Source organism: Homo sapiens, chromosome 6, assembly GCF_000001405.40.
Source record: "Homo sapiens chromosome 6, GRCh38.p14 Primary Assembly".
NCBI classification, from domain to species: Eukaryota; Metazoa; Chordata; class Mammalia; order Primates; family Hominidae; genus Homo; species Homo sapiens.
The window spans coordinates 151,682,792-151,705,043 of NC_000006.12; the positions used below are offsets into that span (position 1 = coordinate 151,682,792).

Below are 22,252 nucleotides of genomic sequence, written 5' to 3' on the forward strand. Positions count from 1 at the left end.
GTTTGGATATGATTTCAGGGGATTCCAAATCCCCTGGGGACCCCCCATGTGGATGTTTGTGATGCAGAATGGGGTAAGAAAACCAGGAGAGCCTACAAAAATTTTATGAAATAGAAATATGAACATACAGTACTGAGCCAAAATTTAGTTGTGAGGAAAATGATGTTAAATGCATTCATTTTCTAAATGATGACAGAAAATTAGACTCATATTACTATCCGGGTGAAGCATATTTTGTACTTATGGTGACCTAGTGATCCAAATGCCTGCTCTTTGGTCTTATCCTCTTATCTTCCTTATGTCAATACTGGGCTGCTTAAATATGTACTGTCTCCGATGTCATTATCTAGTTTTGTTCTTTGTTTTCTATGTTTTATCTTTTACTTCTTGTTCCTATTTCAAATACTTTGACGGTATTGGGACTTGGGGACATGTCCTTTCCAGTACAGATTTTGGTATTGTAGAGGGAGGTTTACAAGCCCAGGTGGGTGTACTTGGGGACTGAGGCTGCTCAGTAGCCCTGTAAATGGTCAGAGTCTGCTGTTTCTGTTGCTTGGAGAGCAAGGTGAATGCAGGTCTCTTTGGATATTGGGGATGATAGAGGGATGTGGATTGGAGAGGAACAGGACTTCCTGCCCCCTCAATTTAAATGGAGATTCATTTGATCAAAAAAAAAAAAAAAAGCACATATATTCACCAGGCCCTGTGTGAACTACCACCTTGGATGTAGGTGGAGTAAGCCATATTCCCAGGTAGCCTGCAATCAACTGCAATCCATTGGTGGTAGGAGGCATGGGAGATACAGAAGTAACTCAGGACTAGATTGAATTGGCCACTTATCTAAGAGTGTTATCAAGTGTTCTGTAAATGTGTGAATTCTGATTAGTTATCAGGTTGTCATACATTTTTTTTTCTTTTTTTTTTTGAGATAGAGTCTCACTCTGTCGCCCAGGCTAGAGTGCAGAGGTGCTATCTCAGGTCACTGAAACCTCCACCTCCCAGGTTCAAGCAATTCTCTCACCTCAGCCTCCTAAGTAGCTGGGATTACAAGCATGTGCCACCACGTCTGGCTATTTTTTTTTTTTTTTTTTTTGTAGTTTTAGTAGAGATGGGATTTCACCATGTGGCCAGGCTGGTTTCGAACTCCTGAGCTCAACTCATCAGCCCACCCCTGCCTCAAAAAGTGCTGGGATTACAGGCGTGAGCCACCACACCTGGCTACGTGTCATACAATTCATTTGTCTCCCTTCCTAGACACAAGCTCCTCAGGATCATATCTGTTCTTCCTTGCTGGCACAGAGGAGATGCTTCAGTAGTGCTTGTTGCTAGAGGAGAAGGGTACAAGTGGCATGTGGAGAGATTCAGAGAAGGGTAGAATAGGATGATGTTGGGCCATCAGGAAGGTCTCCATGGAGAAGGTGTGCTTTGAGATGAACACTGAGGAAGTGGTGGGATCACACCTGACCTAGATAGAGAAGGGGCTGAAATCCAAGCATAGGATGGTGGGAGCAGGGAAAGAGAGGTTGACTGAAGTTGAAGGCTGGAGAGGTTGGCTGGAGACGGGTGATCAGGGATATGGTAAGTGGTTTGTGCTTAATTTAATCTTGCAGTAACACGGTGAGGATGATTAATCGGGAACATAATCTGGTGAAGGTATGTTGGACGGATTCGAAATGGTAGAGGCTGTCGGCAACCAGACCAATTAGGACACCATTGCAAAAGTCCAGCTGAGAGCTGAAGAGGATCTGACTTGTGACAGGGAGTAGGACAAACAAGGGATGGAGGCTGGAGGTATTTTGGAGATACAGCCTGCAGTTCTTATAATCCAAACTTCCCCAGAATATCTCAGCCCAGGAATAAAAATAGGATGAAAACAACAATAACACAATAATATTTTATCTCTGCTTTCTATCAACTGTTTGCAACCTGCAATTCTTTCTGGTTCTTCCTTCCTGCGGGGCCAGGTGAACAGGCAGGTGCTGAATATCACTGCTGGGCTCACAGAAGCCCCCAGTGCTGGGGGGCCAAGGCTGCGGCTGCTGGTGCCAATCAAAGGCACCCATAGGCAGGACCCTCTTCCACTAGGTTTCATTGCAAACGGGAAGCCTCAAGGCAGGCGCTTTCCACTGCTAATCGGTACCTGGTACAGGAATTAAGGCTTCACTTTGTTTGTTCTGAGGGGTTTACAGAGATTTTTCTTCTGTAAAGCCACTGCTCCTTTCACTAAAATTCCGGAGTTTGTGCAAGCTGGGAAGTTAAACTTAGCAACAGAGTCTCTGCTGTATTTAAATATCATTTTTGTCTGACACTGGCCTCTTTTTTTTTTTTTTTTTTTTTTTTTTTTTTTTTTTTTGAGACGGAGTCTCGCTCTGTCGCCCAGGCCGGACTGCGGACTGCAGTGGCGCAATCTCGGCTCACTGCAAGCTCCGCTTCCCGGGTTCACGCCATTCTCCTGCCTCAGCCTCCCGAGTAGCTGGGACTACAGGCGCCCGCCACCGCGCCCGGCTAATTTTTTGTATTTTTAGTAGAGACGGGGTTTCACCTTGTTAGCCAGGATGGTCTCGATCTCCTGACCTCATGATCCACCCGCCTCGGCCTCCCAAAGTGCTGGGATTACAGGCGTGAGCCACCGCGCCCGGCCACTGGCCTCTTGTCCTTAGAGGAAATATGTGAATTTCTCCTTTCTGCTCAGAAGTACACCTTAGTAGTTGACAAACGTAAACTACCCGAAGGGCCAGCCTTCTCTGGATCCTACTTGAGACCTTGCTTCCTGCTGAGAAGTGTGTGCATTTGTGTATCTGGTGATCGAGATGTCTGGAAGAGTGGGGAGAAGACTGAGGGGCAGATGGGGAGTAAGAAGGGTCAGAAAGCTATTTTGGTTCAGCAGTATCAATAATGTTTTTGCTTTAAATCATTGTCTTCTTCAATGTTGCTTCCTTTGTCACTCCTGTAAATATGATAGCCCATTTATTCTTCTAATAGAAAATTTTTCATAATTATTTCCTCACATAAGATGTTTATGGCTTTATATATATGTGTGTATATAAAGAGGAGGCACATAATTTATGAAAGCAGATTTTAAAAGCCTTTCTACAGATGAAATGTAAAGTTCAATTGCATTTTTTCTTTTGGAGATGGGTCTTACTCTGTCACTCAGGCAAAAGTGCAGCGGCACGAACGTGGCTCACTGCAACCTCAAACAGTTCTCCCACCACAGCCTCCAGGTAGCTGGGACCACAGACATATGCCATCACATCCAGCTAATTAAAACAATTTTTTTTTTTTTTTTTTTTTTTTATTTAGAGACGGGGTCTTTCTACATTGCTCAGGCTAGTCTTGAACTTCTAGGCTCAAATTTCTTGATTTCTTCCAAAAGTATTTTCTGCTTGACATTGTCATTTGAAGAAAGATAGTTTTAAAAAAATTTGAAGAAAGAGACTATTTTTATCCCTATAAGCTTGAACTAGGGCTTTCATACTGAGTAAAAGACAGTATACAGTGTCATTGAGGATGGGTCATATTATGGCTCCGTTGTCGAACACTCTAGATCTGGACACTGAAAAGTGGACTACTGATGGATTTTATGCCTCTGCTATAAAAACCAGCACCTGGGGCTGGACGCAGTGGCTCACGCCTGTAATCCCAGCATTTTGGGAGGCCGAGGCGGCCGGATCACGAGGTCAGCAGATCGAGACCATCCCGGCTAACATGGTGAAACCCCGTCTCTACTAAAAATACAAAAAGAAATTAGCCGGGCGTGGCGGCGGGCACCTGTAGTCCCAGCTACTCAGAAGGCTGAGGCAGGAGAATGGCGTGAACCCGAGAGGCGGAGCTTGCAGTGAGCCGAGATGGCGCCACTGCACTCCAGCCTGGGTGACAGAGCAAGACTCCATCTCAAAACCAACCAACCAACCAACCAACCAACCAACCAACCAACCAACCAGCACCTAGGCCCTGGATGCATGTTTAAGGTAGCTAAACACTCTTAGGTTACACTATTCTGATGGGAAAGACCACCAGAGGTGCCCTTGGATACCTGGTAATAAGGGCTATAGAAGAAATTATGGAAATTCTACAACCCTGTCAGTGACTATAGCCAACCATGCGGCTATAGCCAGACCCTGCAATGTGCTCATGGGTCCAGAGCCCCCTATGTGTTATCTCAGCTCATGGGCTTTCTCTGTTCCTGCATAACTTCACTTGCTAGGAGGCTTTCCTTACTTTGGCCTCCATGCCACCCTGAGACATGCCCTTGTCCTTTGCGGCTCATGACCTCAGTGCAGGTTTCCAAATTCATACCCTCAGAGCTTGAATGATTGGTCCAGTTCATCTTTTTCACATTTGGTCATGTCCTAGGTCACTGGCCAGTCTATAGTTTGGCTGATCTTTGGTTGGGTGTCTCACCATGGTCCAGTTAGCTGTGATCTGAAGTGGGCGTAGGGTGGGGAGGTTGTATGAACTTGAGTTGGTTGTTCAAGTAACAGGAGCTGAGAGCATGGCAATTTTCCTTAGAACGATAGTGAGTGAGTGGTCAGGTACTGATTGATATCTCCAGGTAAGCAGAGTTTCAATTTTGGTTGCTCTTCACGAGGAAAGCCAGAAGCCCAGAGCTGTTTTGCTAGAGTGATAGAACTGAGATAGTGTTTTGAGCAGTGCCCAGTGGGAACATCTTTGCTGAGAAGAACGAATAAAGAATTTTGGCAATTAACTATGTAACTGAGTCCCAGACTCTGCTATCATCTGGGGTGGCAGATAAAAACACACAGTCCAAATAAAAAACCTGATTTTTTATTTTAGCCTGAATCACCCAGATCACAGCAGGATTTTGCTTGAACAACCCAGACAGATTGCATCCATTTTCTGCTTTACTGTGCTTGTGGAAGCCAGGCTGTTAGTGGTTTCTTCTGGAATGGGAGAATGTATCACAAAAAGGTTGGAACCTGAAAAATTTCTAGAATTTCATTGTTCTGTGCTTCTTAATAAACAATGTGACACTACCAAGGAATGTGTGTTGACCCTCTTTTTTTAAAAAAATAAAGATGTAGTGGATAGCACGATTTTGATGAAATGTCAGGCTTTATTTTTCATTTGAAAAATGTGTGTGAGGGAATCAGGTGTAATGGCATGATACATCTCTTTAAATTATACTTACGAGATTAAATTTGTCCTGTGTTTCAATTACACTGTATTATACTGCTTCATTTAAATTGTTGTTTTCTTCTTTTTTAATTGTTCAACCTAATTGTCTAATAGTGATGAATGCAATTTAATTAGACACTTTTCCTTGAAGGATATATATATATTTTCCCTATAATAAAGCACAGAATAGTTTAAAAAATGTATTGGTCCAAGCACACATTTTTATTTTTAGTGATTTCATTAGAACAATAAACTTCAAAATGATTCATAACAACCTTTCTGGATTGATTTGATGGAACTGTTTTTACCCATTCACTGATAAACCTGTCAACAGTTTCCTCTCATGACACATACAAAGCACGTGTGTTCCCATAGTGTGTCCTTGTGTGTAATTCCTTGTGCTGGTTCAGATTCTGAAATGGAGCTTTAAAAGCATGGAGGCTTGAGTTGGTCCATGTGAGTTTGAACCCTGGCCGCAGCTGGTATGGGTACTTAATCTCAGTATCCCACGGTTTCCTCAACTGCAAAATGGGTTTTTAGTAGTACTTACCTCACTGGGTTGCTACAAAGATACTTAAACTAGTATCTGACATCTAGTACAGCCAGCCCTCCATATCTGTGGGTTCCACATCTGAGGATTCAATCAACCTCTGGTTGGATAAAAAATATCTAGGAAAATAGCTGCATACTAGGGGAAAAAAAAAAGAAAAAAATATCCAGGAAAAAAATTGTGCCAGTACTGAACATGACTTTGCTCTTTTCATTCTCTAAACAATATAGTATAACACATATTTACTTCACATTTACATTGTTTTAGGTATTATAAGTAATCTATGGATTATTTAAAGTATACAGGAGGATGTGCATAGGATATATGTAAATACTATGTGATTTTATATCAGGGACTTGTCCTGGAACCAATATCCCAACCCTAATACTAAGGGATGACTATATATGCTCAGAAGACATTTGTTGTCATTTTTATTCTCTTGCACTCAAGAAAGCACATATTGGAATGCAAACGAATATCAATAATAGTTTTTTAAAGGATAATTAAGTTAATTTATAATTTACATACAATATACATTGTACATTTATATTTTCTAATGAAAAGGAAATAATCTATAACCTTCAGTTCAGAATTCATTAGCTGTCCTATTTTGAGAACTGTTGCTCTATGTAATTTTCATCTCTGTATTGATGTGTAAAACTGGTTTTAACAGGTAGCTAAATGCTGTTTGAAAAGCATACTTCACCCATTCTGGCAACTAAAATAATTGAAAGATTTAATTAATTTAGAAAAAATATTTCGCTTTCAAAACACTTGAACTGTTCAGAGCATGTTATTCAATAATCTACCTTTCACCAGAAATCATAATAAACACAATAAAAATGCTTACAGAACCCCCACAATGCGTTAGTATACATGATTATTCCTTGTGTAAGTGAATCTTGTTGAGATTTTATGTTCAGTCAATTGCAATTAAATACTTTACATATTAACTAAAATGTGTCCTGCTCTATGTATTCTGGAGAAGTTACTCTCAGACAAATTTACATATTTAAATTATTTTATGGGCTAACTGATAAGTATAGAGAAGACTGAAGACAGTTAAGATCATTGATTTCAAAATGTTTTAAAGTGTTGATTATTTATTTTGGTTTTCTTTCTTTCCCATGCCAGTTTTGAGATGCACCTCTTACTTGGCAGGTGTTCCTCTGTACTGGGTACTGGGACAGAGAGAAATACAGTAGCAAGAGGGAGATCCTGCCTCCGCCCCATTCTACCATTCTCACTGCCAGAAAGCCAGCCTTTTTTCAAGGCTTGTAGAGAAGAAAAAGAGAAAATATTTTTAAAAATTCATTTAAAGTACCTACTGCATAAACCACACCAGACATGATGAGATATTAAAATGTCAATATTATTAAAAATTTTTAATATGATTTTACAGCCCCTTTGCTACTTTAAAATGTTTATCTTAGTGTTAAACAAACAATCAATAACCTCATAAACTTAAAAATTGCTGCAGGAAATACCGGACAGTTTATGGAAGGATCATATGACAGAAGGAAGGGCTGAAGAGTGTGAGAAGCTAGACCTCTGCAGGTTACCGAAGTCAAGAACCTCATTAATCGGTAACAAGAAGTGCAGAGCGGGCTTTTGAGTCCATGCCTGAGTAAGAAAGTCCCAAAAAACACTCACAGAAGATATTTCCTTGCCCCTGCTTTTAGTTTAGCTGTAGCTAACTTTGGATTAACAAAATTTATGTGCTGAATGATGTTTTATTTTTTTTTCCAACTCCACATGCCTGTCTAGACTTCAAGCTTTATTACGAATAAAGAGAAAATCGGCTGGATGGCATAAAAAATATTTCAGGCAGATTAACACATGATTTACCTCTTCTTGAACATCCATCTTAATGGAAGTGCTAAGAAAGTTAGATTCGGGCCTGGCTTGGCAAAAGCAAGGCCACCCCCTCCTCTATTTTTTCAATGAGATTTTCCAATCCTAGTCAAATGGTGGTGCTAGTTCTTTATTTTTGAGTTACTGCATTTCCTAATTTCATGGTCATAACAGCCTCCTGTCTACCGACTCAGAACGGATTTTACCAAAACTGAAAATGCAGGCTCCATGCTCAGAAGCTCTTTAACAGGCTCGAAAGGTCCATGCTCCTTTCTCCTGCCCATTCTATAGCATAAGAAGACAGTCTCTGAGTGATAATCTTCTCTTCAAGTAGGTACTCCTATTTCTTCTCAATTTATTTTTTCCTTTTTGATATAATGTGCTACTGTTTACAAGCATATTGTAACTTCAGAGCTTACCTCTCATCTTTAAAAAATGTTCATTTTTTTGTCTTTCTGCTCCAAGGATATTTTGCAAAGTTACTGGCAAGTATTCCTGGGATGATAAAATGTGAAATCTAAACTTGGTACAGTGGAAATTCACTTCTAGAATAATATTTAGCTGAGGCAGAGGGCAATCCGACTACCCTTTTCTTAGTACAGCACACACAGGCTGCCTGTCTGTTCCAGATAACATAAATGTATTGGATCTAGCACTAGCTAGGAGACACTGTATTGTTGAACTGTGTTAGAATTTTATAAGCTCTTAATTGGACAAATCTCAGAGTAGCATGAACACACTACCTGTTTTCTGAATCTTTGGAGCCATAACTTACGTGAGTTTGAACTAAGCGATGTGAATAAGCCATTATTTGTTTCCTAAAGGCAGTCAAGTTTTCTGAAAAGCTACACATTTAGCAGCAAAAGAACGAGCCCCTCTGTCTTGAAATGGGCCTCTGATTTTAAGCAAGCTCTTTTGAGTCCTGGTGTCCCATTTTCTCAGTTCCTTTTTGCCTCACAATGGCACATACATAATGACTCCACCACATATAGCAGTGGGCTACTCGGGTAATGATGTGGCAGTCACAAGACAGGGCAGAATACTTTCATTTTGGTTAGAGGAATGCCACATGTCTTAGGAAATGCTCGCTGAACTGTAAGTTTCATACTTTGTCAAGAAGATAACCAGTATTCTCTCAAACAAGTCCGTAGGAGCCAACATGATTAAAAGATTTTAAAGCAATTTACTCGATAGAAGGGTTGGGCTTAATCAGGACTTGTGATCATGGCAATGGTTCCTGCTTAAAGGTGCCAGATTTTTAATGCCTTTATGTGCCAGATCTAATAGGCTTACAGAGCAACTCCATGTATATGAGGTTGCTGGGAAACTCATCTGGTTTTGAATGTGGTATATACATATTTTAATATTGAGAGTAAACAGGAAGACCAGGTAGAAGTATTTGAACTGAATTCTGAAACGTACAGAGAACTTAAATTGGATGAGAATGTTTGAGAACCATGGATGGTTCAGGGTCCATTTGTATACCATAAAATCCCTTCCTATTTCTCAAAAGCAAATATTTTCTTTGATTTTGTTAATATCCTGTGATGACTGCCCACTAGGCCTTGGAATGCATGCAGATAATGCTGTAGCAGTTGGATAAAATACTCTAGAATGTCAGATTTTCAAGGAAATTACAAATAAAAACAATGTAGGTAAAAGATACGACATGTAGGAAAAAAGCAAAATTTTCCTTAAGAATACAAGCGTCGTATTTACGAGTAGAAGATTTTTCTTGGACATTTGGAGATACGTGTTTCATTTTATTGCTTGTGACAGTCAAGGAAAGGAATAAAGCTCTTGTGTCTTAAACTTGCAGCAAGAACAAAGTCCAACTATCTTTCGTTTCTGATAACTCTGTGTCTTTTTGTTCAATATTGGGTTTAGAGCTAGCTACCATCTACCTTCCCTTCAAACACTCACTCTAAACCTCCACACAGTGTAAGTATTTACATCAGGCATCTGCTAAACATTTTCACATGGTTATCTGCAGGTCTTCTCTGAGTCTGTCTGCATTCATTTATCCTAGTTGCTCAGAACAATCGCTTGGGCTGACGGCCTGGTGGTTGAGTTTACTTTGCTTTGAATAGGGAACAGCTGTGCTCCAGGACTGCAGATTGGCTATTCGGAAAAAAGGGCAAGGAAGAGAGTGACCCAGCTCTGGGTAGACCATCCACACTGTAAAAAAAAAAGTCATAGCATAGTCTTCATCTATGGCAGTGGAGATATGGTCCTGTCCATCCACCTCTATCAGGAGAGGGTCTCCATTGTTAATCTCCGAGAAAGAGGCGCCATCTGTGAAACCTCCTGCATATTGTCTAATGAAGTGCTATTTTGAAAGGCGTGCACTGTACAGGTAAGAGTGATGATGGTGTGCCTGCCTTCTGGGCAACATCTCAGTAGACTTCCTCTGAATCATTCCCACTGGACCCAACAGCAAAAGCGTACACATCATTGAGTTTTATCGTTCTATCTAAGGCGTATAACATTTTTCTCTCTGAAAGTCTGTGATTCTTTCGGAGAATGAAGGGGCTTACCCTATCCATCTGCCCCTAAAAATATTCGCTGGAAAGCTGATACCTCTGCTCAGGTTTTCCACAGCAGATCACTCTTCAGTAAGAATTCTGATATTAAGTAGTTTAATTCAGATCCATGGAAAATGACTGAGTACCAGCCATAGCTCCCACCACTCTCTAGCTGTGCAATTTAGAGGCAGATTATTTAACCTCATGCCTTGAATTTCTCATCTGCAAAGTGGGAGTACTAACAGTAGCTACCAGATATATTATATGGAATAAATGACATTAAGCCACTCATTAAACTCCTTGCAGTTTCCAAGCATTAGAAACTCAGTATGAGGAAGTTATTTCTATTCTAAGCCTAGCACAGTGCCTGGTACTCAATACATGTTGGTTGAATCAGTGAAATAATTCAAGGTCAGCACCAAAGCTGCTAGGAATTTATGAACATCTGATCATAACTGGAAACTTGATCTAAAAAGCAAAGGGCAGTCAATCCAATCAACTGAGCGTACCATCTGTTGAAATGCTGCTGCTTCTGTAATGAGTATAAAGTGTTGGAAGAGAAAGTCCAGGAACCTCCATCATTCTTCCATCATTCCTCTCCTTTGTGACTATCTTTGTGATGAGAAGGGTAACAAAAAAATCTTGCTGAGATGAGCGTGTCAAAAACGTGTTACAAATGCTTCACATTCCCTTTCACATCAACAGAAGCATGTTGCTTCATTGTTGGGCAATGTCTTAGTCCATACACACATAGAGCTCTATGCTGATTTTTTTTTGAGATGGAGTCTCGCTCTTTCACCGAGGCTGGAGTGCAGTGGTGCTTTCTCAGCTCACTGCAACCTCCGCCTCCCAGGTTCAAGCAATTCTCCTGCCTCAGCCTCCAGAGTAGCTGGGATTACAGGCATGTGCCACCATGGCCAGCTAATTTTCATATTTTTAGTAGAGACGGGGTTTTACCATGTTGGCCAGGCTGGTCTCAAACTCCTGACCTTAAGTGATCCACTCGCCTTGGCCTCCCAAACTGCTGGGATTACAGACGTCAGCCAGCATACCCGGTTGTATGCTGATGTTCTAATTCAATGTGATACCAAAGACCTGAGATAGTCTCTCCCACTCTGGCCCCATAACATATGTCCACGAGGTGGTAATAATAACAACTATAGTAGCACCTAAGGTTGGGGCAGCTCTTACTTTGTGCGATGCTTTTTATAGTGTTATTACGTGTGATTCTCACAGCAACCCCAGGTGGTGAACAACGTTATGATTCCTGTTGTACAAATGAGGAAACTAAGGCTTTGCAAAGCTAGGTAACATGCCCAATATTACACAGCTTCAAAAGTGACAGCCCTAGGACTTGAAGATAAACTCATCTAATTCCAAAGCTCATGCTTTTAGCCATTACTTGAGACAGTATTAACTTTTAAAGTTTGTAATCAATATGAATTTGGCCTTGGGAAAGCAGGTTAAGCATCTGGGGTTGATGGGAGATAACATTACACCCTCTCTTAGCCTCAGCAACTTCATCTGTAAAATGGGAATAATTACATCCGAGTCACAGAAGTTTTGTGGCTCTTCATGAGGATTAAATAAAGTAATGCATGTAAAAGAGTTTTGTACAAAGTTCACTTTTATAAAATGCAAGTTGTGGCCGGGATTGGTGGTTCACGCCTATAATCCCAGCACTTTGGGGGGCTGAGGTGGGTGGATCACCTGAGGTCAAGAGTTCGTGACCAGCCTGGCCAACACGGTGAAACCCGTCTCCACTAAAAATACAAAAATTAGCCAGGAGTGGTGGCATGGGCCTGTAATCTCAGCTACTTGGGAGGCTGAGACTGGAGAATCGCTTGAACCCGCGAAGTGGAGGTTGCAGTGAGCCGAGATTGTGCCATTGAACTCCCACCTGGGCAACAGAGTGAAACTGCATCTAAAAAAAGACAAAAAAAAAAAAAGTAAGTTGTTATATGCAATGCATAAATTATTACTTAGTTCCATGTAAAATCTTCCCACTAAGTGAATGAGGGTTCACCTGGCTGTAGTGCTATGAGATAGATATGAGGGGCAGATTGGTTTATGCTTCTCAAAAACAGAAAGTGTGCCAGGGTGGAAGTGTGGGTGGGGAGTCTCCGCCTCCCAGCCATGTGGCAAAGCTGGAATGTGAGTACAGCAGCAGTATGGATGCGGTTTTGAGGGGATGGTGGTAATCCTCTTCTGGCGGCACCCCTCCAGTATTGTGGGATGCTCTCTGATTTCTTTTGAGAAGACAAGTAGCTAGGAGCTTCCCTAGCCTTTCTGTTGTAAAAACCATCAAGATCCCTGTTGAATGCATACCTGGAGCTTGGTTTCCCTAAGCACAGACTTTAATAACTTCATTTGGATTTAGTCTCCTATTTAAAGCTGCCACCCACTCTCAATTTTTTGGGTTTTCCTACTAAGAATGGATATAACATGGGCAGTCTTCCAGTTCTCCTTTCTTGCTGCCTTGAAGACAACACACAGGCCAATCACAAGGAGGCAGAGACAGGCCCCAACAAGTTGACAATCCTAGAGAGCTTAGTGTGAGTAGACTTGCTGAGGTTCCTGACTTTTGCTGGAATAGGAGAGTGCCACTGGCTTTTTGACATTTCTTTTTCCAACTGTTTCCTTGTCAAAATGACCAGCAGCTCAGCTCCCCTAAACATACCTCCTCCCCTAGATTGGTTCAGAGGAAGCCATCAAGGTCCTTTTGCAAACGGATGATCTGCATTTTTGAGATCCTTCTTTCCTCTGCTGTTCATAGAAATGGTCTCATTGGAATAATTCCTTTTGGAACGTTACTAAGGACACCAAGAAATCAACAAGAAAATTTGAGTGTATCTGACAGAAGAAATTTGGCTTTTGTACTCTAATAATTATTTATTAGAAGCAATAACTGGTCAGAATTTATTTGCTTAAAACCATGTAAAGAAAGGTGCTTAATAAAGATAATTGCATCACATATAGTAATCCGTTTTAGTATCTTTCACCTTAAAACTATGTGACAAATAAAGACACAAATTGCTCTTTCTTTCTAATAAGCAATTTTGGAAATTCCTTATTGGGAAATTCCAAATTTTACAAAATTTACAAAATTTAAAATTTTGGAAATCGTACCTGCATCAAGTTTTCTGAAAGAATATTTAAGGATTAAGGTTACTTAGAATCCAATATATGCATAGTTTAATTTAACTCATATTGTTAAATTCTTTTTCTAATTTTATTTAAGAAATGAGTAATATTGACAAGGGCCTTGCTGTGGTTTATTATGGCTTGTCCTAGAGTCTCTATTCCCAGCTAGATTAAAAGTGCCTCAGGGCTGGGCATGGTGGCTCATGTCTGTAATCCCAATATTTTGGGAGGCTGAGGCCAGTGAATCAGTTGAGGCCAGGAGTTTGAGACCAGCCTGGCCAACATAGTGAAATGCTATCTCTACTAAAAATACAAAAAATTAGCCGGACATGGTGGTGCATGCCTGTAATACCAGCTACTTGGGAGGCTGAGGCAGGAGATTCGCTTGAACCTGGGAGGCGGAGGTTGCAGTGAGCTGAGATAACACCACTGCACTCCAGCCTGGGAGACATAGAGAGACTCCATCTCAAATAAATAAATAAATAAATAAATAAATAAATAAATAAATAAATAAATAAGTAGTGCCTCGGGTGCATAGATGGGGTTGTTCAGTTTTCTACCCTGTGCCTTGGGAAGTGCCTGGTACACACTGGTGTTTGGCACATAATTGTAGAGTGAGATTGAGCCTGGCATGTTCCTTGATCCCTAGACAATCTCTATCAGGTGTGATCAGTAAGGCACATAATATGATATGTGACTATTACAGAGTAGCACACTACAATATGTGCCTAAAGCCATAACATCAACTAATACAATTCAGCAGAGTAGAATGTGAAGAGTGCTTGCAGAGTGCTGAGCACCACGGTGAGGAAGTGTAAACAGAAGAAGGTATTTCTGGGTTGGTGCAGGATGGTTAGGGATAGCTTTGGGTAGGAAGCGACTCTTGACCATGACCTTAAAGGACAGGTAATGTTTACATGGGAAAATACAAGGAAAAGGAGGTGCATAATGAAAGGCATGGGGGAGGTGGTTTTGGGAAACCATCAGTCTGACAGAAACATAGTTAAGAAAAGTGCAAGGTGGTGGTAGGAGGTAATTTAGAAGTGGAGAGTCAGATGTCCTATTAAGGAGCTTGAACTTTATCTTGTAGGCATTAAAGATGTTGGTGTAGGATTGGAATGAAATAAAGACTTAACCTTAGAAAAATACTGTGTGGATTGAAGTTTTCAGATGAAGAGTGGGTACATCAATTCGGAGGTGAGGGAAATAGTTCAAGGGAGGTGTCACACCATTAAAAAAAATCTTTTAGGACTTGTTTTTTGCAATCATGATTGTTTATGGTTGTAAAGATTTTGTTTCAGAAATGATTGGTGGAGAAAGAAGTGTATTGAGAATCAAAAGATGGGACTGTGCCACTGATGTGCGCAGTGAGAAGCTGCAAGCTTGGTGCCCCATCTTCCTAACTGTAAAATGGGCATAACAACTACCAGACAGCCGTCAAAACATTATACTAGTGATACAATGAAGACTAAGTGATATAATTTTGAAAGGCAGTATGCCTTATATGTGTAAAATGCTGTTTACTTGGAATATTTTTATAGTAAAATTATTTTCTTTGGACAAGATATAGATGCAGAAGAAAATGATCATATTTCTGTGAGATTAGGATTCAGACCATTTGAATTTTTTATATTTATTAAATAGGTACTTTATGTTGGGTACTGAATAAGTCTTTTATTTTTAACACCTCATTTCCCTCACAAAATGGATGGCATCTTTGGACTAGGGGAAATGTGTGGTCCCTGCAGCTGTAGTATTTTATGATTCTATAGCTTTTGCCTTTAGCAAACTTCTCTTAGAATAGTGATTTAAGGGCTGGGTGTGGTGGCTTACACCTGTAATCCCAGCACTTTGGGAGGCTGAGGCAGGCAGATCACCTGAGGTCAGGCATTCGAGACCAGCCTGGCCAACATGGTGAAACCCCTTCTTTACTAAAAATAAAAAATTAGCCCCGTGTGGCAGCATGCGCCTGTAGTCCCAGCTACTAGGGAGGCTGAGGCAAGAGAATCGCTTGAACCGGGAGGTGGAGGTTGCAGTGAGCCAATATTGTACCACTGCACTCCAGCCTGGGCGACAGAACATTTAATGCTGGTGGCTCACACCTGTAATCCTAGCACTTTGGGAGGCCGAGGTGGGTGAATTGCTTTTGCTCAGGAGTTTGAGAGCAGTCTGGGCAACATGGCGAAACCCCATCTCTATAAAAAATACAAAAATTAGCCAGGTGTGGTGGTGCACGCCTGTAGTCCCAGCTACTTGAGAGGCTGAGGTGAGAGGATGACTTAAGCCCAGGAGATCCAGGCTGCAGTGAGCTGACATAGCGCCACTGCACACTGCATTCCAGCCTGGGCAACAGAGCAAGATCTTGTCTTAAAAAAAAAAAAAAGTGACTTAAGATACTGACAGTATAAACACAACCAAACCCATGGGCATCTGTGCTGGGAATAAAAGACAGACATGTTTTCATTGCACTGATTTAGGATTCTGCTTGGAAAGGAAAACTGTGATCTCTCCTGCAGTTGCCTAAAATGCTTTACAGTTATGGGAATGGAAAAGCTAAATTCTGTGATTTGTGGGTAGAGGGAAGGAGGACGAGTGTCCTTTCTGATTTCCTCTTTTTCCTTCTCTTCCAAGGGGAAATAAAAGGCTAGAGCAACAATTTAAAAAGAAAAGGCAAGGAGCTACTGGGGGTAGAGTCGGGAGGGAAAAAGGCCAAACCCACTAAATAATTTCACTTCAGTTACAGTAAATCTCAAATGATGATGCTACACTCCTGAGAATGTTCCATGGTGGAAATGCCTGGGCTTTGAATTTTGAGCAGCGAAGTACCAGGAGAGGGTGACATGATAACATTCAACAGGAAGAACACTGCTCTTGTCCGTTTGACGGTCCTATTCCTCCGGATCACTCAATCTTCACAAATCAAGCATATAGCTCCTTCACATGTCATTTGTGAAGGGAAAGACTCCTAGGAAAATGTTTTCTAGGAAAGGGAAAAAAGCAGAAAGCAAAGGTCTCCTGCTTACTACAGCATTCGTGTTGCATAAGCAGTATTAATGTAGTGGAGTATTAATCACTTAGAACAGTTCACGTATTATTCCTATCTGGGCTCTGCAGGGTCCTTTCTTCACTTCTTTCTCGACATTTGGATTCTGTCCATTTTACTCCTCCCTCTGCACTTGGAATAGAAGTGAAATTTGTTGTGCCAATTCTCTGCTTGTTAGAAGCCATGGTAATGTTTAGTAGGGGAAAAGATTTGTACTGCTACATAGAAGGAGGTTTTGGGATTATTTAAGACTTTACTTTGTTGATGGGATTCCTAGAATCTACTATTACTGGGTATACTAGACAAGTTTGTAGATTTACAAAAGTGTGGATAACATGGGTTGCACTTGATTTCTTTATCCAGCTCTTTGGTTCTAAATTTATTGCCAATTTTATTTATCAAAACTATTCTCAGCGGAGTAGTATTTTCTGTGGACACAAGGAAACATCTGTGAGCTTAAACCTTAGAGGCAGATAGCCAGTTAGAACATTTGGCATATGAAGCTTAGATAGCAGAAGAGAAAAATTAACCAAGGCAACCCTCAAAAATATTGAGAAGGCAACTAAGAAAAATTTCTTATCACTGACAGACTGCAGTATTGAGTTCGTGTTAATGAAGAAATGTCAGAATACATAATGAATCAATAAGGAGTGTCATATTATGGCAAGTTTCAATGTTGGTGTCAATCTCGACTGCCAGGATTTATGGTAGATTATATAATGGAATCCTGAGTTCTGAGAGATCAAAGGAAAATGCTGGCTCTTTCTTCATCCATTCTCTTAGGTCAAGCCTATGCAGCAAGAAGCCAAGTTGAGAATTGAGCAATTATCTGAAGTGGGCAGTGGAGACGGCCAAACCAGATAATATATAACCAGAAAGTCACCGTGGAGGGAAAATGTGGACTGAAAATAGGATAAGGGGTGGAGGTAGAATGTCAAGCCATTTGGTCAGTGTCCACAGTCCAAATTTACTGAATAACAGCCAATTCCTTACTTCATGTGGTTATTTAGAGCGAGACTAGAGGACAAGTGAAAAAAAAAAAAAAGAGTTCATTCCTAAGGTTGTTGCATGTTTGTGCAAAATTTCTTCAAATCTCTGTTATTATCTGTTACATGTCTAATTCTGAGTACTTCCAGAGATTGCATTTCATTACTTTAGATTAGTGGGTTGAAGTGGTGGAGGAAGCCCATATAATCTGACTTACATGGAGAAAACAAGTCTTTTTTTATAGTTTAGTTGAGTGTTATATTTAATTAGCCTTTTTTTCCCTCCATAATGCATGCTTATGAATTTTCCACTTAAAATTCTGAGGCTCTGACCTTTATCATTTCCTCATGGAGCAATTTCTGTACCTCCTTAACTTTAGTAGAACATAGCAATGAAATATACAAGTCCCCTAGAATAGAATTTGTGTGAATTTGGTTTTCTAAAAACACAACTACCAAAGTCTGAGGACCAGTGTGGTATTTTTTTCTTCTATTTGATATGGAAACCATAAACTACTTACTTTGAGCAGATGTTTCCCAGTCCTAAAATACAGCTATCAGTCCACTGGCCCCTATAAATCTGTTGGAGTGCACCTGCTAATTCTGAAGCCTCCCTAATACAATGTTAAACTTTCCTTTTTTTTTTTTTTTTTTTTTTGAGAAAAAAATTGTAAATTAGGTTCACTGTTGCTTGGAATTAGGAAAAAATAAAAACACAGGCATACTAATATTTCAGATGGAAAAACAAAGTTAAGAATTCAACAAGTTTTTTTCCCCCACTCTATCATGTCTTGCACATTTAAAGCTGTTATACAACATTTTAAAAACAAACCAAAAAAACCCAGGGCCTTTTTCCAACAGCTTAGGCTGATGACCCACAGTAAAAAAGTGCCCCATGGGATATTCTTAAAGCACCCCAAGGGAGTCTATTGAAATAACTTAAAGTAAAAATTCAGAAGAATTTTACATGTAATTAAAAATTAAGAACGTTGTTTTATAAGCAATAGGGAAAAGCTGTATTAAGTTGCATTGCTCAATTTCTCACTTGCTCTGTGCAGTGACTGCTTTTTCAACCATGTAACAACGTCTGAATCTTCGTGGTAAAATCATACCTATCACAGCCACAGCAGGTTTTGTTCTGCTGCTGCACATGTGATTTGAGATACTGTGGGCTGGGAGTTTTTTTTTTTTTAATTTCTAATGGCAAAATGGATCTATAGAAATGGAAGTCATCTGTAATCTCAGCACTTTGAGAGGCTGAGGTGGGTGGATCACCGGAGGTCAGGAATTGGAGACCAGCCCAGCCAACATGGTGAAACCCATCTCTACTAAAAAGATAAAAAATTAGCTGGCGGGCGTGGTGGTGTGCGCCTGTAGTCCCAGCTACTTGGGAGGCTGAGGCAGAAGAAATGCTTGAACCCAGGAGGTGGAGGTTGCAGTGAGCCGAGACCGCACCGTTGCACTCCAATCTGGGTGGCAAGAGCGACACTACATCTCAAAAAAAAAAAAAAAAAAAAAAAGAAGAAGAAGAAATGGAAGTCATCCCGTGGGCCTGAGTTGGTGTAGTGGATTATGGCCTGTGCGTGAATGAAGAAATACTTGCCAATGGCATCAGTGGTAACTAGCTTAAGCCCTACTCAGCTTTGTAAAATAATGTAATCAAGGAATTTGATCTGAACAGGTAAGCCAAACATTGATTCTTCAGTGCCTATTGATAAGTGAGACTACTTTTCTTTTTAACAGCCTTATTTCACTTAAGTGGGGAGTCAAACTAGCTTTAATTAAGGAAATCTGTAGAAATCACCCACATCTCCCTTTCCTTCTCTGTTAAAAAAACAAAAGGAAGAAGAAAACTAGGAAGGAGTAAGCACAAAGATCTCTTCACATTCTCCGGGACTGCGGTACCAAATATCAGCACAGCACTTCTTGAAAAAGGATGTAGATTTTAATCTGAACTTTGAACCATCACTGAGGTATGTGTGAACATACTAGTTTCCTCTTTCTCTCTCCTGACTTTGTCCGTGAATTGATAAGATCTAATTTGGTCATCAGTTTGGAGAACGATTTTTCATTTAATTTCTTTCATTATCAAGTGTGTATTGTCAGGGGCTTAGCAGTACACCTACTATCTGATGGGCACTCTACATGCGTTGCTTAGGTTGAAATTAAGGATACAATCTGTGCACTACCACCATTTAAAAAAATCCCCAAGTCTACTGTGTGGGTGAGGTTTCTTTGCATAGTATCAGAGAGGTTAACCAATTTATTTACATACTCAATAGTCCACTCTAAGTAGGGAAAATCCAAGCTTTTTTTTTCTTAAGAAAGAGCTTTTCATTCTTTTTTCCCTCAGAGCTTTACCATAGTTTCCAGCAAGTGAAAACATTTCTTGATTTGAATTTCACAACCTCCTTCTCCTCTTGCCAGTTGTATGGTGCTAATAGGAAGCAAAATGTGAGTGTGCTTTTAATTTAACCCTAAAATAGGGGAATATCTTCAGAATTTAGACTTTACATATTCAGTGACCTACCTAAAAATAGAGACATAGTTCTAACCTTCTCAATCATTAAGAAACATTTCTATTGAATTTAATTATTCAAAACAACAGGTAGCAGTTTCACAAGGGAAAAGACAAGCCATGCCACTTGTATTTGTGGTCACCAAGTAATTACATTATTTTTTATTTAAAATTAAGATAAAATAACTTACTGACTGTCAAGTCCATTTCTCATTTCCTCCATAGAACATTTTAAAACTAGTTCACAAACCTCTTGAAAAGTCATGCCTCTAGAAAGTGCAAATTGTCACCATTGCCTAGAAGCCAACTTGAGAGGCTGTGTATCTATGCAGCATTTTGCAAATCCAGTAGCAGGCATGTGATATAAAAGATTAAATGCACCCCTGATTTGTGAATACTATCCTAGCCTTCAAAATGTTCAAAAGCACAGGAAGTCTGCACTTTTAAAAATATAACCTGCCCAAATTGCAAGGGAGGGGTTGGGTGTAGGACCTAGGTCTGTCTGCCAATCAGCTTGAGATGCCAGTGGACGAAACCTGACTTCACTAAAAACCAGACTGGCAAATATTACTCAGCGTGGTAATTTCCTAATTGTAGAACTGGCCTGTTTGGTGAAGTATTTCAGGAAAATTTTTAGCTGGACCTTTTCTACCCTACTGCATAAGAAATGAAGGTTTCTAGGCAAAGACTTTACTTAGTGACTAACCAAAAATGGTAAATAAAGTCACCACTTCCAGGCTTAGCTACTGTCCTCAAAACAGCTGCAGGACTGGTCAGGCCAGTCTTCTGAGGCTGGAGGTGCATGTGGAACCCCCAGAGCCTTGTCTGCAAGGGCATGGCTGACTGCAGGCTGTTTAGAAGCACCCCGCCCCGTGAAACTCCTCTGGCTTAGGAATTTTAAACAGTTCTAGTTCTAATCTCTCTGCTCAGAGTCTGAGCAGCTGTGAATGAGCTCTCCTGTGAATCACAGAAATGTTAATGGGTGAGCTGCTCTAGCTTCTTACTTCCAAGTGGAAGGCGCCTGTAGCTCTTTGCCAGCTTGATGCAGTGAGTTTGATTCCTCTTTTGGGCAGCAGGGAGAGATAATGAAGGAGGGGGAAAAAAGATTTTAATATAGAAACGAGTCTTCCATCTGGCTGAGGCTGAACAAAGTAGAAGAACCAGTGCAAGTCACTGGGGGTATGGATCTCATACCATTTTCAGCATATACCTCCCTTTCTCTCTTTTTGATTCTACACATGTCAGTCCCTGAGTAGTCTTGCATTGCTTTCCCCACTTTGAAGTCTTAGATCCAAAACTTTGATTCCAGAAAGGTCTAAGGTGCTGTTGCTGAGATTTTGAAAGAGACCTGAGACAAACTGTTGGGATTCTAGACGCTATTGCGCATCTGCCTGGGTAACTGTGTCACTTAGGTTGGGTCACCAGAATAATTCTCCTCCATTTTTGCTGCCTTTCCAATTTATAAACAACACAGAACATCAGTGGTTCTCCCATAATCAAATATATTTGGCTCTATTAATATTAAAATTTGATCTTGAGTAGAAAGATTCTAAGGGCTAAAAAATAAAAGATGTAAAATGTATGTTGATAGGTTAGTGTAGAAGCCACCCATGGGGTTGCCCCCACTCCCACTCTTTCATATTTTTTTTAAGAAACAACACTCAAGTTACAAAGTCGATTCTTTTTTTGTTTTGTTTTATTTGAGACTGAGTCTCACTCTGTCACCACCCAGGCTGGAGTGCAGTGGTGCGATCTTGGCTCACTGCAACCTCTGCCTCCCCGGTTCAAGCGATTTTTCCTGCCTCAGCCTCCCAAGTAGCTGGGATTACAGGTGCCCGCCACCACACCCAGCTAATTTTTGTATTTTTAGTAGAGATAGAGACAGGGTTTCACTATGTTTCACCATGTTGACCAGGCTGGTCTTGAACTCCTGACCTCAGGTGATCCACCCGCCTCAGCCTCCCAAAGTGTTGGGATTACAGGCGTGAGCCAACGCCCCTGGCCACAAAAGTCAATTCTTAACTTAAAACATAAAAGTTCCATTTCTTTTATGGTCTACTTAGTCATGTCTGGAGTCAGTGAGCTCAGTCAAGTAGTTTGCAGAATGACAGTTGTGATACCTATTCATTTACCCACCAGATTATTTTCTGCTCTCCATGGCACTTTATAGAAAACAGTTTATTCGGTCATTACAACAGCTCTAGGAGGGGGTTTCATTAAACCCACTTTCTAGGAAAGCGAACTAAGGCTTAGAAAAATCAAGTAATTTGCTAAAGACTACCCAGCTGGCAATGATATGACAGGACATGAACTTAGGACAATAACTCAAGGTCTTGGTCCCTGTAAATATGGGTTTCCAGGTTATGTATGCAGGCAGAGGGCTTAGATCCTGAAGTTTCCTTCAGAAACTTCAGGATCTAAGCCCTCTATATAGGAGCAGTATAAAAAGGAAGGATCTCTTCCCATAGGGAGCTTGTCATCCATTGAATGAGG

General features: G+C 40.6%; 1 protein-coding gene across 12 annotated transcripts in view, besides 1 other annotated feature; it reads left to right on the forward strand.

Moving 5' to 3' along the window:
- Nucleotides 1-22,252, forward strand: part of ESR1 (estrogen receptor 1) — a 472,948-nt gene that overhangs the window by 26,120 nt on the left and 424,576 nt on the right. For 5 of the 12 annotated variants that reach the window (XM_011535543.3, NM_001122742.2, NM_001385570.1 and 2 more), the window contains exons 1-2: nucleotides 7,736-7,873; nucleotides 19,084-19,214. The exons of 1 other annotated variant lie outside the window; for it this stretch is intronic. The gene's annotated coding sequence lies outside the window, so the exon portion shown is untranslated. Of the gene's footprint in view, nucleotides 1-7,735; nucleotides 7,878-13,737; nucleotides 18,923-19,083; nucleotides 19,215-22,252 lie in introns of those variants that run through there. 6 more of the 12 variants (XM_047418290.1, XM_017010377.2, NM_001385568.1 and 3 more) reach the window with 3 other exon arrangements.
- Nucleotides 13,812-13,939: a silencer, noted in NCBI's record as "fragment chr6:152017738-152017865 (GRCh37/hg19 assembly coordinates)". NCBI's record gives its function as "represses an EF-1alpha promoter that drives an FKBP-Casp9 reporter gene in an ReSE screen in K562 erythroleukemia cells {active_cell/tissue: K562}" and the evidence as "EXISTENCE:reporter gene assay evidence [ECO:0000049][PMID:32094911]".